Raw genomic sequence first — 27,277 nt, 5'->3', positions numbered from 1 at the left:
CATAGTATACAAGACAGACTTTAGAATCATTGCAGCAAGTGCCAAAAAGAAAAAAGAAAAAGAAACCTTTAGGAATTTGACTCATATAATATTATATTATTTATCAATTAATTTGGAAGACATTGGCATCTTATAATATTGTATTCCTTCCGATCTTGAATATTTACTCAATACTTCTGTCAAATACAACTAATAACTGATACAAAGGGGTATAATACATATCCTATTTGCTTAATTTTCCTTGAAATTTCACATGAAAAATATATATAAAATCACTTGGAAAAGAATAAACTGTGGTATGGTGTTACAGTTATGTAGGAGTAAAAGAAAAGCTTCCGTTGACCACAGTATTCACATATCATCAGTAACAATTCACCCACAGAATTCATGTACTTGAACTGGCAGTTTCACACGTCCCTATTGGTCATAATAAAGTCAGTCCTTTAAATAATCACTCAAATTTACTGGAAACAAATAACATCCTAAAACCATACCACATCGTAACATACTATTTCCTTTAATTTTTAATTAATAAATCCTGACATGATTATTTTGATAACCTGGAAAATTTACCAGCCATATCAAATCAAAATTACTATAAATGATATAACTTCACCTGTGAAAAAAATGTAATTTCTCAACCTGAATAAATTTACGAGACTCTGAAGTGATTTCCAATCATATTGTTTGACATACTTAGGTTTTAACTGAGTTTTTTTTAAAAAATGGGAGTGAGGCCCAAGTTAGAAATATTGTTCCTTATAATTTTTTAAAGTGCTTCCTACTTTCCTAAAATTTCCAATAGTCATTTTTGCATGCTATAAAAGAATGTGCAGGCTAAACCTACTTAGCTTTGTGTTATCTATCACTCAGGGAGAGTATGATGCTCCTAAATGTCAAACAGAGTGAAGGAAATAAAAAGATTTAAGTGACAGAAAAATTATAACTCATAAGAAGATATATCTAAGTTTTGGTGGGGTGTTTAGTGACTAGTAAGAGGAGCCCCTTGTAGAAGAATTTCAGTAACGCAAGCATACTAGGTAAGAAAGAATCAGATTTCCGCACTATGGAAAACAATGTTTCCTCTTTTAGTCAAATGAACAATGTATCAAGCATCACATCAACAGACTTTTAAAATGAAATAATTATGACTATGCTCATCTCTGATCTCAGGAAAAAAATTAGTCTAGATACATATAAAATATAAATTTCATATACATTTAAAATGATACTCTAAATAGCTGACATTTCTCTTAAACAATAATTTTAAAGACATATTTATGCAATAAATTTAGCATCTCACCTGTCCAGCAACAGCACTGAAGTAAGTATACACGGAGTCACCAGCTGAGGAATAAGTGTCTGAATATGCTGGCCCAGAGTATCCATCGAGGAGTATAGCTGGGCCTGTTTCTGGCACTGGCTGTCCCATCTGCATTCCTGGCACCTGAATGCTAAAATTTCCAAACTATAATAGTGAAAGGGGAGAAGGTTAGTAATATAAATACTACCTATTATCTATGAAAGTTGGATTAAAAGAAATTATTAGAAGTCCGTCAAAAAGTAAACAGTTACCAAAAGCTTATAATCTTATCACAAAAATTTTAACTACAAAATGTTAGATGTCCTACATTAAGACATAATTCAATTCATCAACATATATTACCCAGCATTAAAAGAAGTATAAAAGAAAAAAGAAAGTTACTAGCCTCTAAGAACTTAATCTAAGAGGAACATGTACAATTTTAAAAAATGTTTACCAACATCACTGAAGTAAACAAAAAGTAAAACAATGCAAGATTTTACCTAAAGTAAAACTAAGAAGTAAACCTCAAGACACATACTTAGAAGAATATATGTGTAAATACAATGAAACTTTAAGTGTCAACATTTACAATATGTTGGGTATTGTATTCTTTACAACTATTTAAACTTAAAATAAAAACTTTATATGTCAATATAAAATATGGGAAAAGGGTATATAGTTTTTCAAAAATCTTTTAAGGGGCGGGAAGCAAAATGTTTAAAGAAACTGCTGTGGTTCTGGTAGTATCCTGAGGGATGACATAGAGTTCTGTATGCTGGCCTCCCACTTGTTTCTTTTCAGCCTATTGTGACTTATTACAGTTTATATATGTGGGATTCTCTGATGTTACAGATTATGTGATCTAGTTTTAACTAAAGCCATAACAAAATGGCAATAGTAAAGATTCAAAAACATGCAAAGCAACATGAAAGGCTTGGACATGAAAATATTGTCTAAGCCTTTCCTTACCCACATTATGTAGTAATAATAATAATGATCAATTTTGACTCATTTGAAACTGTCAAGAGGACAACTTGAAATATAAATTTATGTAAACCGTGTTTAGGGATGAACCTTGTTGGCCAGGGGCCCCAGTTCTCCTCCACATGGGCCCTTTCACATGGCTCTTCCACTTTTTCATAGCTTGGCAGTCAGCTTCTAAGAGAGAGAAAGAGAAGCTGCCAGTCCTCTTAAAATATTGAGTCTGGAACTGCCATGGTGTCTTTTCTACTGTATTCTACCAGATGAAGGTGAAACAGGCCCAATCCAGATTGAAGAAAGTGGAGAAATAGTCTGTGCCTTTCGATAAGGGGAGTGGTAAAGAATTGGTAACCATCATTAATCTGACCACCAGGTTCTCAAATTATGGGACTGGGGAAAGCTAATGCTGCAAATTGGGAAGGGAAAACAGATTAAAAGTTATTCCTAAGGACAGATTCTTCATCTTTGAATTGATTTTGTATGCTATTTCTTGTGTGAAAATCTAATCTGTTTAAGTTTTCTGTGCTTAAAATGTTTTTTTATTATTGAAAACACTGAAGCTTGTATAATACAACATGTACAAACAAAAACATGTAACGAAGTTTTAGATTGTTTCATTTCCTGTGACCAAAGTGAGAAACAAAGAAAAAAGTCCTTTACATTGAGTTATAATTTTTATTCGTATACAATTAGTAAAAAAAAGAAAATAATACAATTTTTATAAACAATTCTTAAAAGAAGAAAGTAAAAATCTATTGGAAATGCATCTCCTACAGAGATAAATCATGCACTTAATTAGATAAAAGTATACTATCAAAACAATTAGGTCTAGCAGCTGACATTTTATATTTTGTTAAAAGAATATAAGAAACATTAATAAGGCATGGGTTTCCTTTAACAGGATTTATAAACGTCTCAACTATCTTATTAATATTCTCCTACTAAAGAAATCATGTAAGTTTTATCCCAAAATTTTATCCAATGTATCTTAAAATATTTCAATTACATTTTTTAAAATCAGTGCCTCTAATCTATATATTGCTTCAGCTATTGAGGGTACTTCTCTTTCCGGCGATTAATAATGAGCATGACAACAGCTGAAAAGAGTTGTTTATTTTAAATTCATGGAAAAGGGGATTTAAATATTCAAAACACATACAGACGTTCTCTTTATTGTGTCGTGGAACTCTCCATCAAATTCAAGCACTCTGACAAAAGTGGGTAAGGAAGCACCAAATTATTTGAATGAAAATGTATTACTCTTGCCACCTCACTCTACCATACATATATGAATTCAGAGCATACCAAGAGGAGTAAATATACAAACTTCTAACAGATAGCTTCAACCAAATGAAAATACGTATACGCTAGGGACGTTTTTAAAGACCCACAGGTTTATGCTATCTTGATTAATCTTCGAAGGGGCTTTACTTTCCTTAGGTACCTTAAACTTCCTTCCTAAATTTAAGGACTGAGGAGGCATAGGCATTACAAAGTGGACGGTGCCAGAGGGGATTGAGGCAAGTCTTAAGGAAAGCAAATCAATTTTAGGAACAAGTATGTGTGGAAGTTGAGGACCTGGAAATTCATATCCTAAAACAACAACAACAACCACAACCACAACCACCACCACCACCACCACCACCACCACCACCACCACCACCATGAACTCCAAGGGGTAGGAGTAACTCTTTTGAAGACCACAACCATAGCCCAAAGTCAAGTCCTATATTAAAATCAGTAAAACACAATTTCTCTTTTTAGGTAAAAAACAAATAGAAAATATATTATATTCTACCCACACCGCAATGGATCAAACTACTGTTAACTCTGTTAACACAGCGTGTAGATCACTGACATCGATACTAAAGGTTTGGGCTCCTTTCTGAAAAGAAGGGGCTAGCCACCAGGACTCTACGATTATAACTTGCAACTCCCAAAGGTGATGCAGGATAAAAGTTATAACAAAGAGTAACTTCCCCCCGCCTGGGGGCGAGCGGGGGAGTCTAGAACAGATTGCCCTTCGTATAACAGTAAAGATTAGGAGTTATTTACCGTACACCTTAATTTATTCATAAGGAACTTAAAGAACAAGAAGTGGTCAGGAAATTCAAAAAGAGGATCTCTAGCAACACTGAGTGGGGGGCGGGGGAGGGAAGTACCACAAACGATTACTGGAACAAGAAGAGGGTGGCTTGTTCCTCCATTCCAGGAAATAAATTTCCAAACACACATTACTCCCTCGGCTCCACCAGGACGCTCCTCGAGGGTCCTCAACGACCAGAAAACCTGCGGCTCCAAGTCAGCCCAGGATCAATGCTCGCCCAGGCCCTGGCCCCCAACAGCCCCGGAATCCGGCGCCGCCGAGTACCAGGCGCGGACGCAGGGAGCAGGAGCCAAGGGCGGACCCGCACGTTGGCACCGCCCCCGGGGGCGCCACACCCCGCGAGGAAGAGGGACACGACCAAGCGGCTGGGACTCACCCCTCCTCCGTATCCCGGGTAGGCCATGACGAGCGGGACGAGCGGAGCGAGCGTCACCCTCGAGTCGCGTCCGCAGTGCTGGGAGAAAAAGCACAGGCGCAGGTGCAAGGAGGCGCAGCTGCAGGTGAGGCTGAAAGGCGCACTAACCGCACAGTTCACTCCTCCGAACCCGCCCCCTTCCGCAGGCCAGCCCCGCCCTGCACGGTTCCGATTGGCTGAGTCCCACACTTTGGAGCCAACTCAGCTGCAGTCCGCCCCTTCCCGCAGCCTAGCCCCACCCATCTCTGCCCTGATTGGCTACACCCCATCGGGAGCCCTCCAGTCCCTGCTCGACTCTTACTGGCTCCCTCAGGTTCTCGCGCGCTCTCCTTCTAAATCCCGAAGAAGCCTTGGCTGCTGCAACGGAATTCCCACTCTCTGTGGAAAGGTCTTCTACAAGCCTTCAACTCCTCAAGTTACTTTTCTTTCTAGAAACCCCAAACCGGCAAGTCTGTGACTTATTTTAACCAGCCCTCCACGCTTTTGAGCTGGACTTCAAAGACCCATCTGTGAATTTCAAAATTTTGCAGTTACATTTACTTTTGTGTAGTGTTGATGTCACATCAAAACTTTGCAACCAGGACCACACCTGTGGTCCAGGAGGAGTGCTTCTGCGCCAAAACCCACTTGAGGCCACATTGGACGAACAGGTTATTGATTCTGTTTGGTAGATAAATGGTGACCTGAATTGTGGCATGTTGGCAAATAAACAGGATATCTAGTTAAAGTTGATTTCCAAATAAACTTTTTTAGTGTAAGTATGTCCCAAATATTGCACAGGACGTGAACATACACTAAAAACTTATTTGCTGTTTATACACTGATAATATAGACGGTGTCCTGTATATAATCTGACTCAGCCTTTGGGCAAACTCTTGTTAAATGTTCAATTACTTTGGCTTATTAAGTAATAGCAATGGACAAGTCTGATTTATCTCTGGAACTCAAATGAATTTTGTAGCTCTGACTTTAAAAGGACAAGGCAGCTGTAGCTTTGGCTTATGAACAAATGAAAAAACCAAATGATATTATTTTGAGTTATCTCTGAAGAACAAGAGAAGGGCTAACATGTTTCTTAAAAATAAGGCTATCAAAAAAATGTTAACTATTCACAAAGGAAATCAGCCTTGCAGAGCTGAGTATCTGTTGTTCAGCTATGCTACAGAAGAGGATGTTGGACCTTGTGAAACAATTCTCAGAGGAAACAGCAGAGAGAAAGGAAGATTGCCGATGTCCTAGCTACTCTTGGGAAAGTGTCTGTAAGTTCCTTCAATGCTGTAAGAAATACTTAAGCCACTAAGGTTAAATTATTGGCATAAATAAATAGAGGGGAAGGGTAAAACCTACGTGGCAAAAGGGAAAAATGCATGGCTTATGAAGGTATCAAATGATAAAGCGCTAGAAAGAACAAACCATTGCAAAATTTTATTCCAACGGATTAACTACATATTCAAAGAACTGCTTAGGAAGGATTGAGTGTTTACATTTACAATGTTAGTCTGATTCTGTGGTCAAAATTTTTGTGCATCTTGTTTTCATCAAAATAGCCTTATTGATGCAGCTGCATTTGTGCAGTTGGGAGTTAAGGCCCCATGGGTTTCTTGCCTTTCTGCACATTTAATTGCAAAGATAGTATTTCCTGCCAGGGCAAAGTTTGGGTACGTTTGCTAGCAGCCTTCTTAGGACTTTCCTAAGCTTGGAGTTCTTCCAGTTGCATAACAAACACAGTGCATGTACAACACCCATCTGGCAGCTCCTCTTCGCCTTGTGGGACTTCAGAACGAGGGGAATCTATGGAAGTATGAAGCTCATGGTGCCTGTTGTGCTTTGAGTAATAAAGTTATTTGTCTCAGACTCAGGAATCTCACACATTCTGCCAACTTCCATGAAACTGTGGCACTCTACTTGTTTGCTTATAACTAGGGTAAAATATCAGATCCTTCATAGTTCCTGCCAATATATCTCTTAACTTAGAGAAAGGGCTACCAAAGAAAGTTCCTACCATGAAGATGCAGAGGAGGACTTTGAACAACACAGCATCTCTCTCTCTAAAACTAGTGTTTCAAATTTTAAATATTCTAGTATAAAAATTCAAATAAGGCCATAGAGTTTTTTTTAAATAACAGTAATGTTAATTTGCCTCCATGAGTCAAGTTAATACTGTATGAACAATAGCATTTTATGAAAATGTCATGTCTATTTAAAAAATTTGCTTTTTAAATATTTTTCTTTTAATAAAATCCTTCTTTACTTTATAAAAATAGTTATAGAGTGAATACGACGTACTAGGCATTGTGTGTTGTGAAGTGTTATTTCTCAAAACAACTCCATCAGGTATATGTTATTATTCCCACTTTACAAATGTGAAAAGTAAGGTGGATAATTGTATTTCACTACCCACAAATGCAGTTGCATAGTGACTAGCAAATCTGAGAGTATGGCTGCAGAATGTGGTTTCTTAAACATTGTATGTCCCCTTTTCTCTCCATCCCCAACCATAGTGCTGTATTTCAGAATATAATAAAATTGTTTACACCATAAAAGAAAAAAGGCTTTAAAAGTTTTTAAATGGCAGTAGAAAATATAACTAGAGAAATAGCCAAGGAAACACATTGTTTTGACCAAGATTAGCCAATTTAATTACTTCTCTTACACAGGGTACATCCTTTCTGGTGACTATAAAGCTTACAGGATTATGTCTAACTATGGAATTTCTTCTGAATCTTGGTGGCATTGGTCTTATCATAAGTTTAGATATTCAATTAACCAGCACATTTACCAGTAAAATGTAAACAATAAATTAACTGCAGTTCTTTTTCCTATCTGTTGCCACCTCATTTTCTCTTTCCCACTATATGAATGAGGGAGAGAAAAGAGTCACAGCTCCTCAGCAAATTTCAATCACAAACCCAGAGCCTACTTGCCTCATATAAATCATATATATATATATATATATATATATATATATAAAATAAATAAGACATACCAGCTAATGGAAACCAACATTAATGGAGTTTATTTTATATCACTAAGAAATTTCATTTAGATAGAACAATTCATTTACTCAATAATTATTTATTGAGCATGTATAATGTAACACTATTTTAGATGTGGAAAACATACATCAATAGGAGGGGAGGAATGTCCTTGCTTTTTTGGAGCTTACATTCTAGCAGGGAGAACAGACAATAGTAAGTAAAAATGATGAGTAAGTAAATTATAAACCATGTGAGAAGATGATAAATGCTATTGAAAAATAAGGAAACCTAAGTCAAGGTTAAGGGGTAGGGAGATGACAGAGTAGGTTGTAGCTCTAAATGGAGTACTTGGGTAGCTTTATTGAAAAGGCAAGATTTGAGCAAAAACTTAGAGGTCATGAATGAGTTAGACATTCTGGAGGTATCTGTAGGAAGACATTTCCATGAAGAACTAGAGTTAAGGTCCTAAAGCAAAACCCTGCCTGACCTATTTGAAGAATAACAAGGAGGCCAGTGAGCCTGGAATAGATTGAGCAAGAGGGAGAGTAGTGGAAGTGGTTGCAGAAGCGGGGACATTGGAGCAGATCATGCAGGGCTTCACAGACCATTTTAAGTACTTGCTTTTATACTCTGGTTGTGATACGGAGCCACCGAAGAGTTTGAAATCTAAGTGGGACATGATACGATTTAGGAAGGCTCACTCTTTCAGCTGTTGACAACAGACAGAAGGAGGTTAGTGTAGAAACAAGATCTGTTAGCAATCTGTTGGTAATCTAGAGATGATGGTGACCTACTAGGGTATAGCAGTTGAGATGGTGAGAAGTAGTGAGATGATTATTCTGTTTTTAAGGTATAGCCAGCAGGGTTTACTGGTGTTTTGGATTTGCCCTTAAATTACATGGTGAAGACTGGGGAAGGAGCAGTTTGGGATAGTGCCAAATCAAGAATTAATATTGGAGATGTTAAATTTGAGACGCCTGTGATACTAAGTGACTATGTCAGGCTGTTTATCTAAGAGGTTGCCTAGAGTGAACAGCTTCTGGTGAGGGTGCCTACCAACCACTCAGCATTTGCATCTTAACAGACCTTTCTCCAATTGATACACTGATGACAAGTGGCAAAGAATTTATTTTTAGAGAGGGAGGATTCCTCCAAAATGGCCCTAACAAATTGCTGATGCTGATAATGAAAGTGAAAGGGGACTAAGAAATTAAGGCCTCTTTGGGCATCATTGATTATAAAAATTAATTAATAATATAAATAGTTTTATGACTTAGAGGATTAAAGGTATAGCCAATTGCATATGGAAAATAATTCTGACGACTTCTAAATCCATATAACACTTAAGAAAGTACGTACACAGTGTCTGTTAGCTCAGGCTGCCATAACAAAATACCATAGGCTGTGTGGCTTAAACAAAAGGAATTTATTTCATACAGTTCTGAAGACTAGAAGTCCAAGATCAAGCTGCCCACAAGGTCAGTGCCTGGTGAGGCCTCTCTCCTTGGTTACAGATGGCTGCCTTCTCCCTGTGTCCTCACATGACCTTTGCTTGGTGCATGAGGATAGCCAGAGAGGGGGCAAACTTTCTGGGGTCTCTTTTTATAAGGGCACAATTCCCATCATGAGGACCCCACTCTCATGACCTCACCTAACTGAATTGTCTCCTAAAGATCTATCTCCAAATATCATCCCATTGGTGGTTGGGGTTGCAGCATGCAAATTTGGAGAGGGAAGCATTTCATTCATAGCACACAAAATCTGAAAGTTGAAAAAAGAGACACTTGATCATAATGTTCACTGTTGTTCTGTCACATTGATCTACCCTAGTATTTATCTATTTTATGCTAAAATGTATTCCTTAATTGGATTTCCAATATTCCTTAACATAGATTTCCTTAATTGATCTACATGCAATAATTATCATACTTTTCCAGAAATTATTCATTTTTTTAATATGGAATAATGAAGATATATATGTGTTATTTGCATAAGACATAAAAATATGACACTATCAAGTGAAGCCATCCAGTCATAATTTTATTTTAAGCCCGAAGTTGTTCCTTTCAGTATCTTTCTAAGGGTTACTGCCCACCAGTGAGGACAGAAGAAAAATAATAAGCATGCCAAATAAGACAAAAATAAATATTATTTACCATTTATTACCTCAAGCAGCCACTTGGCAAACTGACCTTTCTTCAGCTAAGCTCTCAATAACACAGTTTTCTGTTTTTAATTCTGAAAATACTAGTACTCTTTTGGCAGGAGTACAAACTCTAAAGCAATTTAATAATAGTGCATTTTAGCATAAAATTGTTAACAAGGCTCTTCAGAAAGGTGATGATTGGTATACTTTCTGCATATATACATCCTCACTTTGATTATTAAGTCTATTAAGCAATTTGGACTCAATGAAAACTTCTTGAGAAATTATATATATGTAGATAATGTTGATCACAGTATGTGTCCACAACTAATGCTGAATAAGAACAGCAACAGTATGATTAAAATCCTCAATAAAGTCATCTGCTTTTCAGGTAAGATCAGAAAAATACCTACCTTAAATTTTAAATCCAAGTTGCGTGCTTATGAATATCATTTAGATTCTACCTAGATAACATGGGATGATATACCCACAAAGCTGCCTTTCTAGAAATATATAAATTAAATATGTCAGTTAAATTCTGTTATGTTGGTGTTTATCCCACTGGTTAGTAACCCGCTTCTGTAATAACATGGGTTTGATACACCCACAAAGCTGACTCTCTAGAAATATATAAATTAAATATGTCAGTTAAATTCTTTTATGTTGATGCTTATCCCATTGGTTAGTAACTCGCTTCTGTGTAGTGTCAGTTAAGTTAGAGTAGTCCTGTTACAAAAAATTAAAAATCGTTTCATCAAAAACATAAAAGTGGCCCAATTCTTAAATATATTCTTGGCCAACTAAAAGCTGAGATCATCTCATTTCCACATTAATCCTCAGGTGTTTTGTGTATGTGTAAAATAAGAGTGCCCCCCTTCATATTTATGTACAATTATTGGTGGAAATAAAACCTGGTAATAAAAATTTAAAAATTACAATTTATTCTTTTATATAACACTTGATATTTTTCACAGCTATTTTGCACATTATCACATTTGACTTTCACAACAATCTTGTGAAATAAGTAGCACCAATTACATCTTCAGAGGAAACGTAGTAATAACTTGCATTGTGGATGTAGACACAGATCAAAGCAGTTGCAAAATATTTTTAAAATAAAACATGAACTGATTATTTTTCATGTTCAGGAAATAGCACACAAAATCTGAAAGCTGAAAACAGGAGACCCCGATCATAATGTTCACTGTTGTGCTGTCACCTTTCACTACACAATCACCAGTGCTTGTGTAGTTTTGAATGAGTGTGAGAGAATAAAGTCCCATTCTTAGAGCCTTTAATGTTACTTAAAACCTAAGAATCAAGCTATAAAACACTTCATTGCTTGAGTTATCCAAAATTAGGAACTGAAGTAAAAGAAAGAGAAAAAAACTTAGTACTCTCCTGGTACAAAGAGGGGTAAGAATTGTGATAGGTACTAATGTAGATGACGACCCATGATCAGTTATGGGTGGGTATAATGAGCCCAATTAATGCACCACCCAAGATCTTCTCAGCTCACCTTACCTTAAACGCTTTCCTTGTTTTCTGTCTTTTAGCCATAAAGCTCAGTTGCTGCTGCTGCCACTTCCACCAGAAAAAAGCAGATGGCACATTCAGACACAGTAATTGAGGGATTGTAATAAAGTCACTATTTACAAAAGTGTTGACATAGGTAAGATAAACCAATCAGGCCTGATACAGCGTCCCAGTGCAAGCAGTGTTGAGGACCCATTACCACCCTTAGGCAGAAGGTGCGAGGCAAGAAAGCAGTTATCAAAACATGGATAGAATTATTGTATGAAGAGGGTCCCCTGACACATGACTTTTAGCACACGGATGCACCATGACCTGCATTAAGATTAGCCTAGGGAATAAATACCAAAACCTCACTCTTCTCCCTACCTCTGCTTTCCTGCTATTGCTTCCATTGGCTGAATCTGATCAGAAGCTAGAGGAAAAGAGAGCTCATTGACGCAGTCCACAGAGGTTAGGCTCCCTGGCACAGAGCAATGTAGAGAAGAGTGAAAAGTAGATCTTTATGGGCAGGTGGAAAATGTCAAGCACTCTGAAGAAAAAGAAATTCCAGAACTTAAATTCCCAACCCTGCTCAAATTAAACAAATCTCAGTTAGCGTTTCAACCCATGAAATTGTTCTGTAAGGTAAACCAAAAATCCAGATAAATTGCATAAAATAGATATTTATAGAGTAATTATATTGAATGATTAATCTGTATTTAATTAAATCCAAATGAAATTCCAGAACTTAAATTCCCAACCCTGCCCAAATTAAACAACTCTTCAATTAGAGTTTCAACCCATGAAATTGTTCTGTAAGGTAAACCAAAAATCCAGATAAATTGTAAAGTACATATTTATAGAGTAATTATACTGAATGATTAATTGATACTTAATTAAATCCAAATATTTCACTGAGCAACTAGGCTATATAGAAGACAGAAAGAGAGAGAGAGATATACTTAGGTTTTTATTCAACTTCCAGGATTATAGTAAGGACTTGAGCCACCCATTAAGAGAGGCACTATGGCAACCAGCAGAAAAGAAAGGGAGAGGAGATGGGAGGAGAAAGGAGGATGTTACCTAGCAACAGAATCTTTAGGCTAGAGTTTGCTCATAAAGTGTCTAAGAAAATGGTTGTTACTGATATCAAAAAAATAAAATGAAAAGAAGATACAAAAAATGTCTGAGTGAGGACATAGAAACCATTTGAGCATATAGATAACAAAGATCAAATAATTATGTATTTGATTTCCTATGTGAAATATCTTTCTGTACATTATTTTAAATAAATCTACACATCAATAAATACATGTTTAGAAGGAAACAAAACTAATTTCCCTTGGAAAGCATTGCCTAAAATATAGCTTTTCATGTATAAATTTGAAAAACTAAATTATTATTGAACTCAACTTTCAACTGTTAACTAAGCAAAACATGTAGCTTCAGCCTATAAGTCTATCGTAGTATTACAATAACAAAAAAAAATCAGCTGATATTCAGTTCTTAAATTTTGATATTTTCCCTCATTAATATGTAGGAAACATCCATGTAGGAAACTACCTATCAGCTAAGCACATTATGCAGATAATAAGTTAATACCAATGTCAGAGTTGGGACAATTTCTCTTTATTAACATTTTATTTTTTTAACTTTGTTAATACTGATTTCATTAATTCACACACACATTCTGATTTCAAGAGACTAGGTTAATTGGTTCTAGTCATTATCATCCATGCTAACTCTGGAAGAAACTGTGCAATAAATAACGAAGGGGTTGACAATTGACTCCAAGTTCATTTGTTGACAGTATGACATTGGAATATATAATGCAACTTCTTTAAATCTCAGTTTCTCCTTTGCAAAATGGGGATACTCCCTATTAGAAGATCAATAAGTCCTCTTAATATTATGACAGAAAATCCAACTCAATATATCTAAACAAGAGAATTTATTGGCTCATGTAATTCAAAGTCCTGGGCTAGCTTTAGATTAAGTTTCATCTGGCATATAGACAGTTTCTCCAAGGACCCACATTTCTCCAGCTGTCCCTTCTGCCTCCATTCTTAGGACATAGAGGGATGCCCCCTCCCAACCCTTAACCCAACCTTAACTCACTGTTACAAATAGCTACAGGGAATCTCCACTTTTATTTCTCTGGTCCTTTTTTTTTTTTTTTTTTTGAGACAGAGTCTCACTCTGTCATCCAGGCTGGAGTGCAGCGGTGTGATCTCAGCTCACTGCAACCTTCACCTCCTGGGTTCAAGAGATTCTCCTGCCTCAGCCTCCCCAGTAGCTGGGATTACAGGTGCCTGCCACCATGTCTGGCTAAATTTTTTTGTATTTTTAGTAGAGACGAGGTTTCACTGTGTTGGCCAGGGTGGCCTTGAACTCCTGACCTCAAGTGATCCACCCACCTTGGCCTCCCAAAGTGCTAGGATTTCTCTGGTTTTAATTGGGTTCCGTGTTCACACTTAATCACTATAGCTAGGGAGTGGGATATGTTGAGTAGGTTAAACTAATAAGGCTCCAGCTCAATAGCTGGGAAAGGGGTCAGTCCTACCCAAAGATAGTTTGAGGATGAGGAAATGGGTGGTTTCTCCAGAAGAAAATCTAGGAGCAGTTTTACCAAAAACAGAAGGAATGAATACTGAGCGAGAGAAAACAATAGGCCCACTCATAAACTCATGGAGTTGTGAAGATTAAATGTGGTAACATATAGAAAGCTCAGGAAAAGCATAGGTCTAGATCTTTGTTTTCCTCACACCTCCTAGCACATGGTAGGCATTTGATGTTCATTTATTCACTAAATATGCATCGAGTACCTCCTGTGTGCCAAGCTCTACACTACTATTGAGGATTCAAAAATAATGAAGACATGTTGCCTGTCCTTGTGAAGCTTATAGCTTACTAGGAATGGCAGATAAGTCAAAATGCAATTGTAACAAAGTGAGATGAGTGCTGTGGCTAGAGGTTAGCTCAGGATGCCATAGAATCACAAAAGAAAGGTGCAGGGAGGTGTAACATAGGCACAGTCATGAAAACGATCCCTATAAATATCCTCAATACATGTTACCTTGTCCCTTACCTATAGATATTTATACCCTTTTCCCTGATTCTGTAGCAGAAGTATCTTGGGCCCTGAGCAGCTTAATTTTAAATGATTTTTTTCTGAAGATTGGAGAGAACATTAGCAGTAGAGGTAATGAAGTAGAAGGTTATCTTCTCTGCCTTTATAACATGTTTTTTAAGTTGAAATTATAGCCATGATTTTACCTCCCTAGTGGGAAATATAGATTATCTCCCTTTTCTGTTAACCAGCAAAAAAAAAAATCTATAATTGTACATAGTTACAATTTTGTTTAACTGAATCAGCTTAATTTGTTCCAATGCAGTTAAGATCTCACAGTTAAAGCCCCACAAGGTGGCGGCAGAGGAAACATCATCTGTGAGTCGCAGTGTGGAGAAGTCTCAGGAAGGAAGCAAGGGAAGGCTTTCCCACTTACACCTTTCTGAGAAAGGCATGGATAAGACGATGTCTAGGATTTGGCCTGGGCTGCTTTGTCCCTGCCACCTCTTCAAAGGAGACACCATATCATCAAGGTTCCAGGGAATAAGATGAGCCTTAGGCAGTAATTGGCCTCATCTGAGAACTTTGGTCAACCTCCAGAATTCCTTTTTCGAGATAAGTTTCAGGCTATCTCTAGGGTTCACTGTGGGTGTTCCACAATTATTAAATGTTAACATTATGCTTAATTGGTAATTAACAGCATGCAGCACATTTGTGAGCACATAAGCAGTCTGTTCCTGAGATGAATGAAACATTTCTGAGATGTCTATCAGGGATCACTCACAGTCCATGCATGCTGCCTTATTTATTTTTCTCTATTAAAAATCATAAATCCTTCATCTTAAAGTATTTTTATATAGATTATTTGTAGTATCAAAATAATTTGAATCACTTGATAATTTAAAAATCTCTCACATAGTATGAATATGTCCCTTGAGACTCTTACTGCCTTTCAGGGAGAAAGGATGAATGAAATGAAATCATCTATGCTAAATAAGTTCTAAAATTCTGAATGAGTTCTAAGGATGAAGAGGGACTCTGCAAGCTCCCCAAAGCTGCTAAATCTATATACCCTCAACACAAATACTCAGATAGATAAATGAAACACACAGCCTATTTATTGGGAATTCAGAGGGAAAAAAAGTTAATTATTTAAGGAATAATCAGAAAATGTATTTTAATATGCAGTATACATTTACATTATAAAATATGGTATAATTTGTGATCTTAATAAATAGGTGTCTCATCTCTTCGTTACTGGCTTTACTCATCCATTCTTTCATTTATAACAGTACTAGCATAATATAATTGAAGTCCCTTTCCCACCTTCAACAAAATGGTATACAGGTTCCAGAACTTGCTCAACTTTTTTAGCATTTGATTCTATGAAAAACTGTTGGTAAAGGCAGCTGCTGGCTCTGAATTAATCTTGCAACTTTTTGGGTGTATATAAATATGAGGCAGTCTAAGAAAGCCCTGATACCATATTTCTATTTTTGTGAGAGTTCTTTGTACGTCATGTTTTGATCCCCCAGCAGAGACTTTCAAACGCCTTTCCAAAAATGCATAATCACAAAATATGAACTTTTTAAAAAAAGTGTACTCTTTTTGGAGTACAGATGGGGCCCAGTGATCCACCCATTGAGCCTCTCTCCATCACATCTTAGGGATGTATCACTAAGTCACATTAAATCTTCTCAGTTTAAATATTAGTCACCTAGGCCATGATAAACTTGCAATAAATGTGACTGTGTATTATTTTTGTGTGGAAGTTGAATTTCCTTATGTTCTCCATAACTTCCCTCTTCCTTTTTGGTAAAAGTATAAGAAACTCCAGTTACTATAAGCAAGACAGTTTTTTCAATGATCTAGGACTTCCTTCTTCAGTCCCTCATTCTCTTTCCTGAACCACAAGTTGAAGCCCTGCTATGGGCCTTGTTAGTAGGCATGAGTTATGCAAAAATCCTTCGAAGTAATTCTGATTCAGATTTCCTGCACTTGTTACTTTGTCTCCAGTTTAAAGACATTGTGGACTTTTCAGTTGAATTCATATGTAATTTGATTCTTCCAAATATTAGCTAAGGATTTATGCTCCAAAGTGTCCAGGGGGCTACTGCCATGAAGTTATATATTTTTATATATATTATATAATTTATATATCATATAATATATAAATAATATTATATATTATATATATATATATATTTTTTTTTTTTTTTGAGATGGAGTCTTGCTCTGTCGCCCAGGCTGGAGTGCAGTGATGCGATCTTGGCTCACTGCAAGCTCCGCCTCCTGGGTTCATGCCATTTTTCTGCCTCAGCCTCCCGAGTAGCTGGGACTACAGGTGCCCGCCACCATGCTCGGCTAATTTTTTGTATTTTTAGTAGAGACAGGGTTTCACCATGTTAGCCAGGATGGTCTCGATCTCCTGACCTCATGATCTGCCTGCCTCGGCCTGCCAAAGTGCTGGGATTACAGGCGTGAGCCACCACACCCAGCAGAAGTTGTGTATTTTATATAATGCCTAATAGGTTTTATTTGTTCTAAGCAATTATGTGACAATGCCCAGGCCAATGAATTTAGCAGATGAATGTTCCAGACTACATGTCCTTTCATAAATTGCTGAAAATATGTGTCCACTTATATCACAGCTTTAGCCAAAATGAATTATGAATGATTCAGGAAGATATCTAAAAAACATAATCCAGTTTCCAAATTCTCCTGCTCAGGCCAGCAAGCTATATATATACAGTTTGTCTCAGTCTGTTAGTTCTGCTACAACAAAATACCTGAGACTGGGTAATATAAAGAACAGAAATTTATTTCCTCACAGTTCTGAAGGATGGGAAGTCCAAGATCAAGGGTACAGATAGGTTCAGCATCTGGTGAGGTCCCCAGCCTCTGCTTCCAAGATGGCACCATGAATGCTATTTCTTGACATAGTGGGTCAGAAGGGCAAAATGTGCTCAACTCACTCACTTTTAAAAGGGTGCTAATCCTGCCCACTAGGCCACAGCCCTCATGGTCTAACCTCCTCCTAAAGGCCCCACCTCTTAACACTGTTGCATTGGGGATGATATCTCAGCATAAATATTGAAGGGGACACAATAATTCAAACCATAGGATAGTTGATACTCACTATTCATGGGTTTCATATGTGTGAATTCAGTTACTTGCTGATACTTATTTGTAACCCCTAAATAATCAATACTTGTGGCCCTTTCACAGTCATTTGCAAAGTGCAGAACAGTGAAACATTTGAATCACCTGATGCACAGATTCCTAACTGAGGTCAAACAAGGCAGTGCTCTGCCTTCTTGTTGCAGCTGTTATACTATAAATAAGTATCCTTTTTGTAGTATATTTAGTGCCACATTTTTCACATTTTTGTGTTCTTTGTTAGTGATTTCACTGTTTAAAATGGCCTCCCAGCACAGTGCTGAAGTGCGGTCTAATACTCCTGAGCACAAAAGAAAATAAGTATGTTAGGTAAGCTTTGTTCAGGTATGAGTCATAGTGCAATTGGTTGTGAATTCAATGTTGATGAATCAACAATATATACTAAATAAAATGTCTTTAAACAGAAATACATTCAAAACAAAGTTATGTATTGATCAGTTGACAAAAATGTGACTGGGGCTCATAGGAACCTAACCCTGCATTTTCTCTAGAAGCAATGGCTCAGTATTCACTAATTCAGTGCTTATAGTGACTTTATAGAATATAACTGCCACCAAAAATGAGAATTGATGGTATCCTCAGTTGGCCCTAGGCTAACAGAAGCCCTAATCCCTAGTTCTCACCTCTGATGGAAGAATGAAATTACAAGTGGGTTTGAAAAGAAAAATAACTGACACTAAAGTTCTAACCATGGAGACTGTGAGGCAATGGATAATTTTACACAGGTTTCCATGTAAGTCTAATCTGGACATAGGTTCAGAACAACTTCCTAAGTGGTCACTTGGCTCACAAAAAGGGACTGAATTGGCCACATCAGCACTACCTATTGGAGATATTCGTCAAGGCCAATGTGTGTATTCAGGTACATAAAACAACTGGAAAGCAAGTTTGTAGCATCCTTTGGGTCATTCTTTTATTTTAATATTCATACAAAATGGTTTGACCTACTGCAGCGTTGCCTTACTATTAAAAATCAAAATTATTGGCTATTACTAAAAAGTCAAAAAGTAACGCATGCTGGCAAGGTTACGGAGAAAAAGGAATGCTTACATACTGTTGGTGGGAGTGTAAATTAGTTCAGCTATTGTGGAAGACAGTGTGGTGATTCCTCCAAGACCTAAAGACAGAAATACCATTTGACCCAGCAATCCCATTACTGGGTATATACCCAAAGGAATAAAAGTTGTTCTATTGTAAAGACACCTGTGTGCATGCATTCATTGCAGCACTATTCACAATAGCAAAGATATGGAATCAACCTAAATGCCCATCAGTGACAGACTGGATAAAGAAAATATAGTACATATATACCATTGAAAACCATGCAGCCATAAAAAAGAATGAGATCATATCCTGTGCACGGACGTGGATGGAGCTAGAGGCCATTATTTTTAGCAAACTAACACAGGAACAAAAAACCAAATACTGCATGTTCTCACTTATAAGTCGGAGCTAAATGATGAGAACACATGGGGGAACGACACACGCTGTGGCCTACTGGATAGTGAAGGGTGCGAGGAGGGAAAAGATCATGAAAAATAACGAATGGGTACTAGGCTTAATATCTGGGTGATGAAATAATCTGTACAACAAACCCCCATGACACAAGTTTACCTATGTAATAAACCTGCACATGTACCCCTGAACTTAAAAGTTAAAAATAACAATAATTATTATTATTATAATAAAATAAAAATAAAAAATTTTGATCCCTATCATTAAAAATATTTGAAGATGGACCCCAGTAAATATATGGGTATTCATTTAGAAAATCTTCACATGTACAACTATAATAATTTATCATAAAATACAACAAAAACTAAAAAGGAATGAGATGAGCTAATTAAGATTTTAAAATGTAATTTATATAACTCAGTGCACTGATAATAAAAAAATTTGTAGTTGATAATGCTTATATTTTAAAATCTTAGTTTAACCCTTCGTGATTTAGCAGCTCAAAAGTTTGATTCAATTTATCTCAATATTTCAATAATTAATTCTACAGCCTTCCTACTCTCTTACTTTAAGACTTTTTCAATTATAATATAGATATAGAAGTGCTGGGAAGGGAAGAATCTGGTCCCTTTAAATGATAGGAAAGTGTTAAGTAGAGGAGGGCATGATCCCTAGCTAGGGCTCCATCCCCATGGACCTAGGTGAGGACAGGCATTTCCTGCCCAAATGTTGCATTTCCCAAGACCACACTGGCCTGCCACGCCCCCATCCTGTGCCTATAAAAAAACCCCCGAGACCGTAGCAGGCAGACATAGAAGGAGCTGGACATCAAGAGGAGAACATCAGCAGAAGAATACACAGGCGGCTGGATGTGGAGAGGAATGCACTGACAGGCACCAGAATGCTGCCAGGCCACTGACCAGCAGAAGCAGAATGATGCGGAGTTTGGCTGGGATAGTCAGTGGAGAGCCCAGGCCACTGAGAGGCCCAACTCCAGGGGTAAACCTTCCCATTCAATTCCCTTCTGACTTCCTCCAAGCCACCTCCACTCAATAAAACCTTGCACTCATTCTCCAAGCCCAGATGTGATTGATTCCGATTTTTCCAGTACACCAAGGCAAGAACGCAAGATACAGAAAGCCCTCTGTCCTTGCAACAAGGTAGAGGGTTTAATTGAGCTGGTTAACACAAGCCATCTATAGATAGCAAAACTAAAAGCAAAACTAAAAGAGTACCCTGTAATACACTCCCACCGAGGCTTCAGGAGCTGTAAATATTCAGCCCTAGACACCGCCATGAGGTCGGAGCCCCACAGCCTGCCCGTGTGTATGCTCCCCTAGAGGTTTGAGCAGTGGGGCAACTTTTCCTGTCTCAACTGGGGGCTCACCCGGGATCTTAGAAGGTGAGTGTGAGTGAATGCTGTCAGGTTTGCCTTTCTTCCAAAACCCTGCCATCTCTCTCTCTTTCCTATGAGTAAGAGGCTCTGTTTTCTTTTCTTTTTTGAGACAGGATCTTGCTCTGTCACCCAGGCTGGAGTGCAGTGGCACAATCTTGCTCACTACAACCTCCACCTACCAGGTTCAAGCAATTCTCCTGCCTCAGCCTCCCGAGTAGCTGTGATTACAGGCACATGCCACCATTCTCGGCTAATTTTTTTTTTTTTTTTTTTTTTTTGGTAGAAACAGGGTTTCACCATGTTGGCCAGGCTGATCTCGAACTCCTGACTTCAGGTGATCCACTCACCTCGGCCTACCAAAGTACTGGTGTGTCCGGACTCCCTCCACACCTCCTTGCAAGCTGAGGGAGACAGCTCCGGCCTTGGCCAGCCCAGAAAGGGGCTCCCACAGTGCAGCGACGGGCTAAAGGGCTCCTCAAGTGCCGCCAAAGTGGGAGCCCAGGCAGACGAGGCGCCAAGAGCCAGCGAGGGCTGTGAGGACTGCCAGCACGCGGTCCCCTCTCATTGGAATTACAGGTGGAGCCACCATGCCCAGCAAGCCTCTGTTGTCTTTTTGTCACTTTTTCTCTCGCGCAGTTTGAAATGGCTCTAATCTCTTTATAATGTTAAGTGTTTTGCTACAGGCTGCGTCAATGTTACTAAGTAAAATGAGTATTTGGCCCAGCCACCAAAGGTGCAAATCAGACCAACTGTTCCTGGAGGTGCCAGGTATGCCTCCACCTCGACAGCCACAGGCATGCATGGCTCAGGGAATCTCTCCTTACCCTTTCCCCTCTCAGCTCAGCTGCCTAGGCGTGCCTGCAGCAGCCAAAGGCTGACCCCAAAAGCCAATAGGGGGAGCAGGAGCAAACAGGCAATATCCAGGACCCTACAGGGTGCTTCTTGCTTAATATGTCAACAGAACCTCCCCTGGCCAGGGAATTCAACCTGGTCTGAACTAGGGGAAGGATGGGAAAGATAATTATAAGGATTAAAAGGGCCCACTTGCACTAAGTGAGAGGTTCTTCTCCTAGCATCCCCCCTTTTTTGCCCCTTTTACTGTTTTTTCTGTTTTTTACCAAGTGAGAGGGCTCCCCCTGCCCCCCACAATGTTTCTGATAGGGAAGTTAACAGAGGAGCGACCCCTGCTGGCTGATAACTGCAAATTCAGCAAGGCACGTTTGAGATACTCTAAACAGATACAAATAGCCACTAACATACCTTTTTGGTCCCAAACTCGATTTAAGCTTCAGACTGAGGCCCCAGAAAGAAAAACTGGGCCTAAGGAATCCAAAGCCAGGTGACAGGCACAGTGTAAATGGGCAGAACCAATTCCTGCCGACCAATTGGGCAGAACCAATTCCTGCCACCCCACAGAAGGAGGCCATGGTTCCTGGAATAAACAGGCCCAGGGAACTCAAAGTTTGCCAATAGCAAGGAGAAAGGGAGGCATAGGTGAGGGCAGTTAATTCCCATTCTCCAGGTTTTCCCTACCTCATGGGTACATACCTCATTTTTACCTATGGCTGGCACCTGCCAAGGTCTCTGGGGCTCAGGGATAAGGGGTGGAGAGTGGAGGGAGGACGCTTGCTTTCTCTCTCCATCATACCCTGAGTTTTTTGTGGAAAGAAGGAAAGGAAGGCCAGGTGTGGTGGCTCATGCCTGTAATCCCAGCACTTTGGGAGGCCAAGGCAGGCAGATCACCTGAGGTCAGGAGTTTGAGACCAGCCTGGCCAACATGGTGAAACCTCATGTCTACTAAAAATACAAAAAATTAGTTGGGCATGGTGGGGCTTGCCTGTAGTCCCAGCTACTTGGGAGGTGGAGGCAGGAAAATTGCTGGAACCCAGGAGGCGGAGACTACAGTGAACCAAGATCGTGCCATTGCACTCCAGCCTGGGTGACAGAACAAGATTCCATCTCAAAAAAAAAGAAAAGAAAAAAGAAAGAAGGGAAATGAGGGATGCCTCTATTCCCTGTCTTTCAGAATGGGCAACTAGTTCTCTTCACCACCCTCAGCTTATACTCCTCTGGAGTGTATGCTGAACCATTGGGACTACTTTGACCCTCAGAATCTGGAGGAAAAATGCCTTGTAGCCCTCTGCACAAAAGTTTGGCCAAATTATGATTTACAGGAAGGACTGGCTTGGCCTCTGGAAGGGACCATTCATTTCAATACCATCTGGCAATTGGAACTTTTCTGTAGACTTGAGGACAGATGGTCTGAGGTCCCATATGTGCAAGCTTTCTATACCTTGTAAGGCAATCCAGACCTTTGCTGACAATGTAGGATTGATCCAACCCTTCTGTTTCCTGTCTCAGGGAAGGCTGCAAGGGGCAAGCCCAGCAAACTAAAGACACAAGTCTCAGAGGCACACCCAGCAGAGGAGCCAACTCCCTCAAGCCCTGCTCCTCTGGGTCCACCCCGACCTCCCCATCCAGTTTCAGCCTCTCACTTGCCCCCTCCTAGAAATCCTCACCCTAAACAAACCCGTCTTACTCTTGCCTCTCCAATAGATGCCAAGTGAATTTGGGCCCAGTAAGGTCCAGGTCCCCGTCTCCCTACAGGACTTAACGCAAATGAAGGGGGACCTTGGCAAGTTTTCAGATGACCCTGATAGATATATAGAGGCTTTCCAGAATTTCACCTAAATATTTGAACTCTCCTGGAGAGATGTTATATTACTTTTGAATCAGACCCTGACAGACACTGAGAAACACGCCGTTCAGCAAGTGCAGACAGATTTGGGGATGAGTTTTGTATCACATATAGTGTCAGGGAAGGGGGCAAACATTATCCAACCGGAAGAGAAGCAGTACCAATGGATGACCCTAAATGGGATCCCAGTGATGACATGGGAAACTGGAAGAGGAAACACTTTCAGGTGTGCATAATGGAGGGCTTGTGTAGGACAGGAATTTGATGAAAATCCCACTGCCTTCCTGGAGAGGCCTTGATAAAACACACCTCTCTATCTCCTGATTCAGTCAAGGGGCAACTAATCCTAATGGATAAATTTATTACTCAGTCAGCTCCTGATATCAGGAGGAAGTTGCAGAAATGGGCCCCAGGAGCAGACAGTATGTTAGAGGACCTCCTGAAAATGGACACCTTGGTCTTTTATAATAGAGACAGGGAAGCCCAGGAAGGAGAGAGAAAACACAGGAAAGAGACAGAAGCTTTAGTGGCCACCAGGCAAGCTCACAAACCCCAGAATTCCCAGGGTGCACCTGTTAATTGCTAAGGATATGGCAACAACAGTTACCTCCCTTCTAAAGTTTAACTGCTCCCATAAGAGGTTTAATTTCTTTCACCAGGCTGAAACAGGTCAGGGTACAATGTTGTTGTTGTTAGTATATTTCATTTCTTATCTCTGTAGTCTTTGGCACCAAATTCTTTCTTTGTGTAATACACATTTAACCCATGCATACTTAACCTTATAGAACTTGTTTTTTTTTTCTCCCATGCCTAGAAGCCATCAAACTCCAAATGGTCAGGCAATCGGAGCCTCGGACGATGGCTCTCCTTTGCCAGGAACCCTTAGATAAACCTCTGGGAGGAGTCTGTGCCATTTTTACCAAAACAATGCCCCCTGTCAGCAGGAAGCAGTTAAAACCGGTCATCGTCCATATTCTAACAGCAGTTAGTTGTACCTCTTCAGAGGGGATAAATGATATGGAAGTGCTGAGAAGGGAAGAGCGTGGTCCCTGTAAATGATACAGAAAGGGGAAAGGGAAGTGCTGGGTAGAGGAGGGTGTGATCCCTAGCTAGGGCTTTACCCTCACAGACCTAGGTGAGGACAGGCATTTCCTGCCAAATGTTGCATTTCCCAAGACCACCGTAGCCTGCCATGCCCCCATCCTGTACCTATAAAAACCTCCAAGACCCCAGCAGGCAGACACAGAGGCAGCTGGACTCAAGGGGAGCACATCAGTAGAAAAACACATAGGAGGCTGAAGGTTGAGAGGAACACACCAAAAGGCACCAGCACACTGGCAGGCCACCATCTGGCAGAAGTAGAACGTCGCAGAGTTTGGCTGGGGCAGTTGAGGGGAGCCCAGGCCGCTGAGTGGCCTGATTCCAGGGGAAAACCTTTCCACTCCATCCCCTTCTGACTTCCCCTGAGCTACCTCCACTCAATATAAAGCTTGCACTCATTCTCCAAGCCCAGGTGTGATCCGATTCTTCCAGTATACCAAGTCAAGAACCTGGGATACAGAAAGCCCTCTGTCCTTGAGACAATGTAGAGGGTCTAACTGAGCTTGTTAACACAAGCCACCTATAGACAGCAAAACTAAAAGATCACCCTGTAACACACGCCCACTGAGGCTTCAGAAGCTGTAAACATCCACCCCTAGACACTGCCGTGGGTCGGAGCCCCACAGCCTGCCCATCTGCAGGCTCCCCTAGAGGTTTGAGCAGTGGGGCACTGAAGAAGCGAGCCACACCCCCATACTGCCCAAGGTAATTTACAGATTCAATGCCATCCCCATCAAGCTACCAATGACTTTCTTCACAGAATTGGAAAAAACTACTTTAAAGTTCATATGGAACCAAAAAAGAGCCCGCATCGCCAAGTCAATCCTAAGCCAAAAGAACAAAGCTGGAGGCATCACCCTACCTGACTTCAAACAATACTACAAGGCTACAGTAACCAAAACAGCATGGTACTGGTACCAAAACAGAGATATAGATCAATGGAACAGAACAGAGCCCTCAGAAATAATGCCACATATCTACAACTATCTGATCTTTGACAAACCTGAGAAAAACAAGCAATGGGGAAAGTATTCCCTATTTAATAAATGGTGCTGGGAAAACTGGCTAGCCATATGTAGAAAGCTGAAACTGGGTTCCTTCCTTACACCTTATACAAAAATCAATTCAAGATGGATTAAAGACTTAAACGTTAGACCTAAAACCATAAAAACCCTAGAAGAAAACCTAGGCATTACCATTCAGGACATACGCATGGGCAAGGACTTCATGTCTAAAACACCAAAAGCAATGGCAACAAAAGCCAAAATTGACAAACGGTATCTAATTAAACTAAAGAGCTTCTGCACAGCAAAAGAAACTACCATTAGAGTGAACAGGCAACCTACAAAATGGGAGAAAATTTTCGCAACCTACTCATCCGACAAAGGGCTAATATCCAGAATCTACAATGAACTCAAACAAATTTACAAGAAAAAAACAAACAACCCCATCAAAAAGTGGGTGAAGGACATGAACAGACACTTGTCAAAAGAAGACATTTATGCAGCCAAAAAACACATGAAAAAATGCTCACCATCACTGGCCATCAGAGAAATGCAAATCAAAACCACAATGAGATACCATCTCACACCAGTTAGAATGGCAATCATTAAAAAGTCAGGAAACAACAGGTGATGGAGAGGATGTGGAGAAATAGGAACACTTTTGCACTGTTGGTGGGACTGTAAACTAGTTCAACCATTGTGGAAGTCAGTGTGGTGATTCCTCAGGGATCTAGAACTAGAAATACCATTTGACCCAGCCATCCCATTACTGGGTATATACTCAAAGGACTATAAATCTTGCTGCTATAAAGACACATGCACATGTATGTTTATTGTGGCATTATTCACAATAGCAAAGACTTGGAACCAACCCAAATGTCCAACAGTGATAGACTGGATTAAGAAAATGTGGCACACATACACCATGGAATACTATGCAGCCATAAAAAATGATGAGTTCATGTCCTTTGTAGGGACATGGATGAAATTGGAAATCATCATTCTCAGTAAACTATCGCAAGAACAAAAAACCAAACACCGCATATTCTCACTCATAGGTGGGAATTGAACAATGCGAACACATGGACACAGGAAGGAGAACATCACACTCTGGGGACTGTTGTGGGGTGGGGGGAGGGGGGAGGGATAGCATTGGTAGATATACCTAATGCTAGATGACGAGTTAGTGGGTGCAGCGCACCAGCATGACACATGTATACATATGTAACCAACCTGCACATTGTGCACATGTACCCTAAAACTTAAAGTATAATAATAAATAAATAAATAAATAAATAAATAAATAAAGTAAAATAAAACAATTACAATCTAGCCTTTGAGGTAAAAGTACTGTTTTTCACAAAAACATTTGCAGGTAACTGTTTTTGAAAAGACTTTAAGCTATGGAAGGAGTACTTGAAAAATGAATGTTCCAAAACTTATCTATTGATACGTGACTTTCATTTTTTGCCAAAACTGCTATGTAGAAAAGTTTTTATATGTGAAAACTTAAAAACCAGAATTTTAATTGAATTGGTGAAAGTGATTAGGAAATTATTATCAAGATTTAGTGAACTTAGCCATAATTTTTTTTCTATTTTAGGCTTACTACTATTTTTGAAATAAAAAGCTACGACAGTATCCTTTTAATAAACTTTCCTGCTAAATCAGCCTATCAGTTTCAGTTAAATGGCTGAAAGTCTTGCTTAAAGTCTCAGTTAAATGGCTAGCTATTATATAGTGTTTATATGTATGTGTGTATATATATATATATATATATATATATATATATATATATATATATATATATGTAACTAAATTTTTCCTTTATAAATTGTGCATTCTTTGAAGACTAGCACCGCACCATCTCTTCTTTAATTTTTATATAAGCGTAGTGGGCTGGAGTCACATATTGGGCACATAAA

General features: G+C 39.1%; 1 protein-coding gene across 14 annotated transcripts in view, besides 5 other annotated features; it reads right to left on the bottom strand.

Moving 5' to 3' along the window:
- The window catches only part of GCA (grancalcin), a 56,634-nt gene that overhangs the window by 26,351 nt on the left and 3,006 nt on the right, over positions 1-27,277 (bottom strand). For 8 of the 14 annotated variants that reach the window (XM_006712398.5, XM_006712400.5, NM_001330268.1 and 5 more), the window contains one exon: positions 1,304-1,468. In XM_006712398.5, the coding sequence (XP_006712461.1) occupies positions 1,304-1,468 (165 nt within the window). Of the gene's footprint in view, positions 1-1,303; positions 1,469-4,449; positions 4,679-4,770; positions 4,915-27,277 lie in introns of those variants that run through there. The other 6 variants (XM_005246446.4, NM_012198.5, XM_017003767.2 and 3 more) reach the window with 3 other exon arrangements.
- Positions 4,608-4,687: a silencer, noted in NCBI's record as "silent region_12064". NCBI's record gives its function as "represses an Ori minimal core promoter by ATAC-STARR-seq in GM12878 lymphoblastoid cells {active_cell/tissue: GM12878}" and the evidence as "EXISTENCE:reporter gene assay evidence [ECO:0000049][PMID:35858748]".
- Positions 4,928-5,077: a silencer, noted in NCBI's record as "silent region_12063". NCBI's record gives its function as "represses an Ori minimal core promoter by ATAC-STARR-seq in GM12878 lymphoblastoid cells {active_cell/tissue: GM12878}" and the evidence as "EXISTENCE:reporter gene assay evidence [ECO:0000049][PMID:35858748]".
- Positions 5,106-5,275: an enhancer, noted in NCBI's record as "experimental_55205 CRE fragment used in MPRA reporter constructs". NCBI's record gives its function as "activates a minimal promoter by MPRAs in K562 erythroleukemia cells, with activity observed for both the introgressed and non-introgressed 2:163200366 variant alleles {active_cell/tissue: K562}" and the evidence as "EXISTENCE:reporter gene assay evidence [ECO:0000049][PMID:34662402]".
- Positions 5,106-5,357: a biological region, named in NCBI's record as "ATAC-STARR-seq lymphoblastoid active region 16718".
- Positions 5,128-5,357: an enhancer, noted in NCBI's record as "active region_16718". NCBI's record gives its function as "activates an Ori minimal core promoter by ATAC-STARR-seq in GM12878 lymphoblastoid cells {active_cell/tissue: GM12878}" and the evidence as "EXISTENCE:reporter gene assay evidence [ECO:0000049][PMID:35858748]".

Source organism: Homo sapiens, chromosome 2 (genome assembly GCF_000001405.40).
Source record: "Homo sapiens chromosome 2, GRCh38.p14 Primary Assembly".
NCBI classification, from domain to species: Eukaryota; Metazoa; Chordata; class Mammalia; order Primates; family Hominidae; genus Homo; species Homo sapiens.
This window is presented reverse-complemented; position numbering and strand designations above follow the sequence as displayed.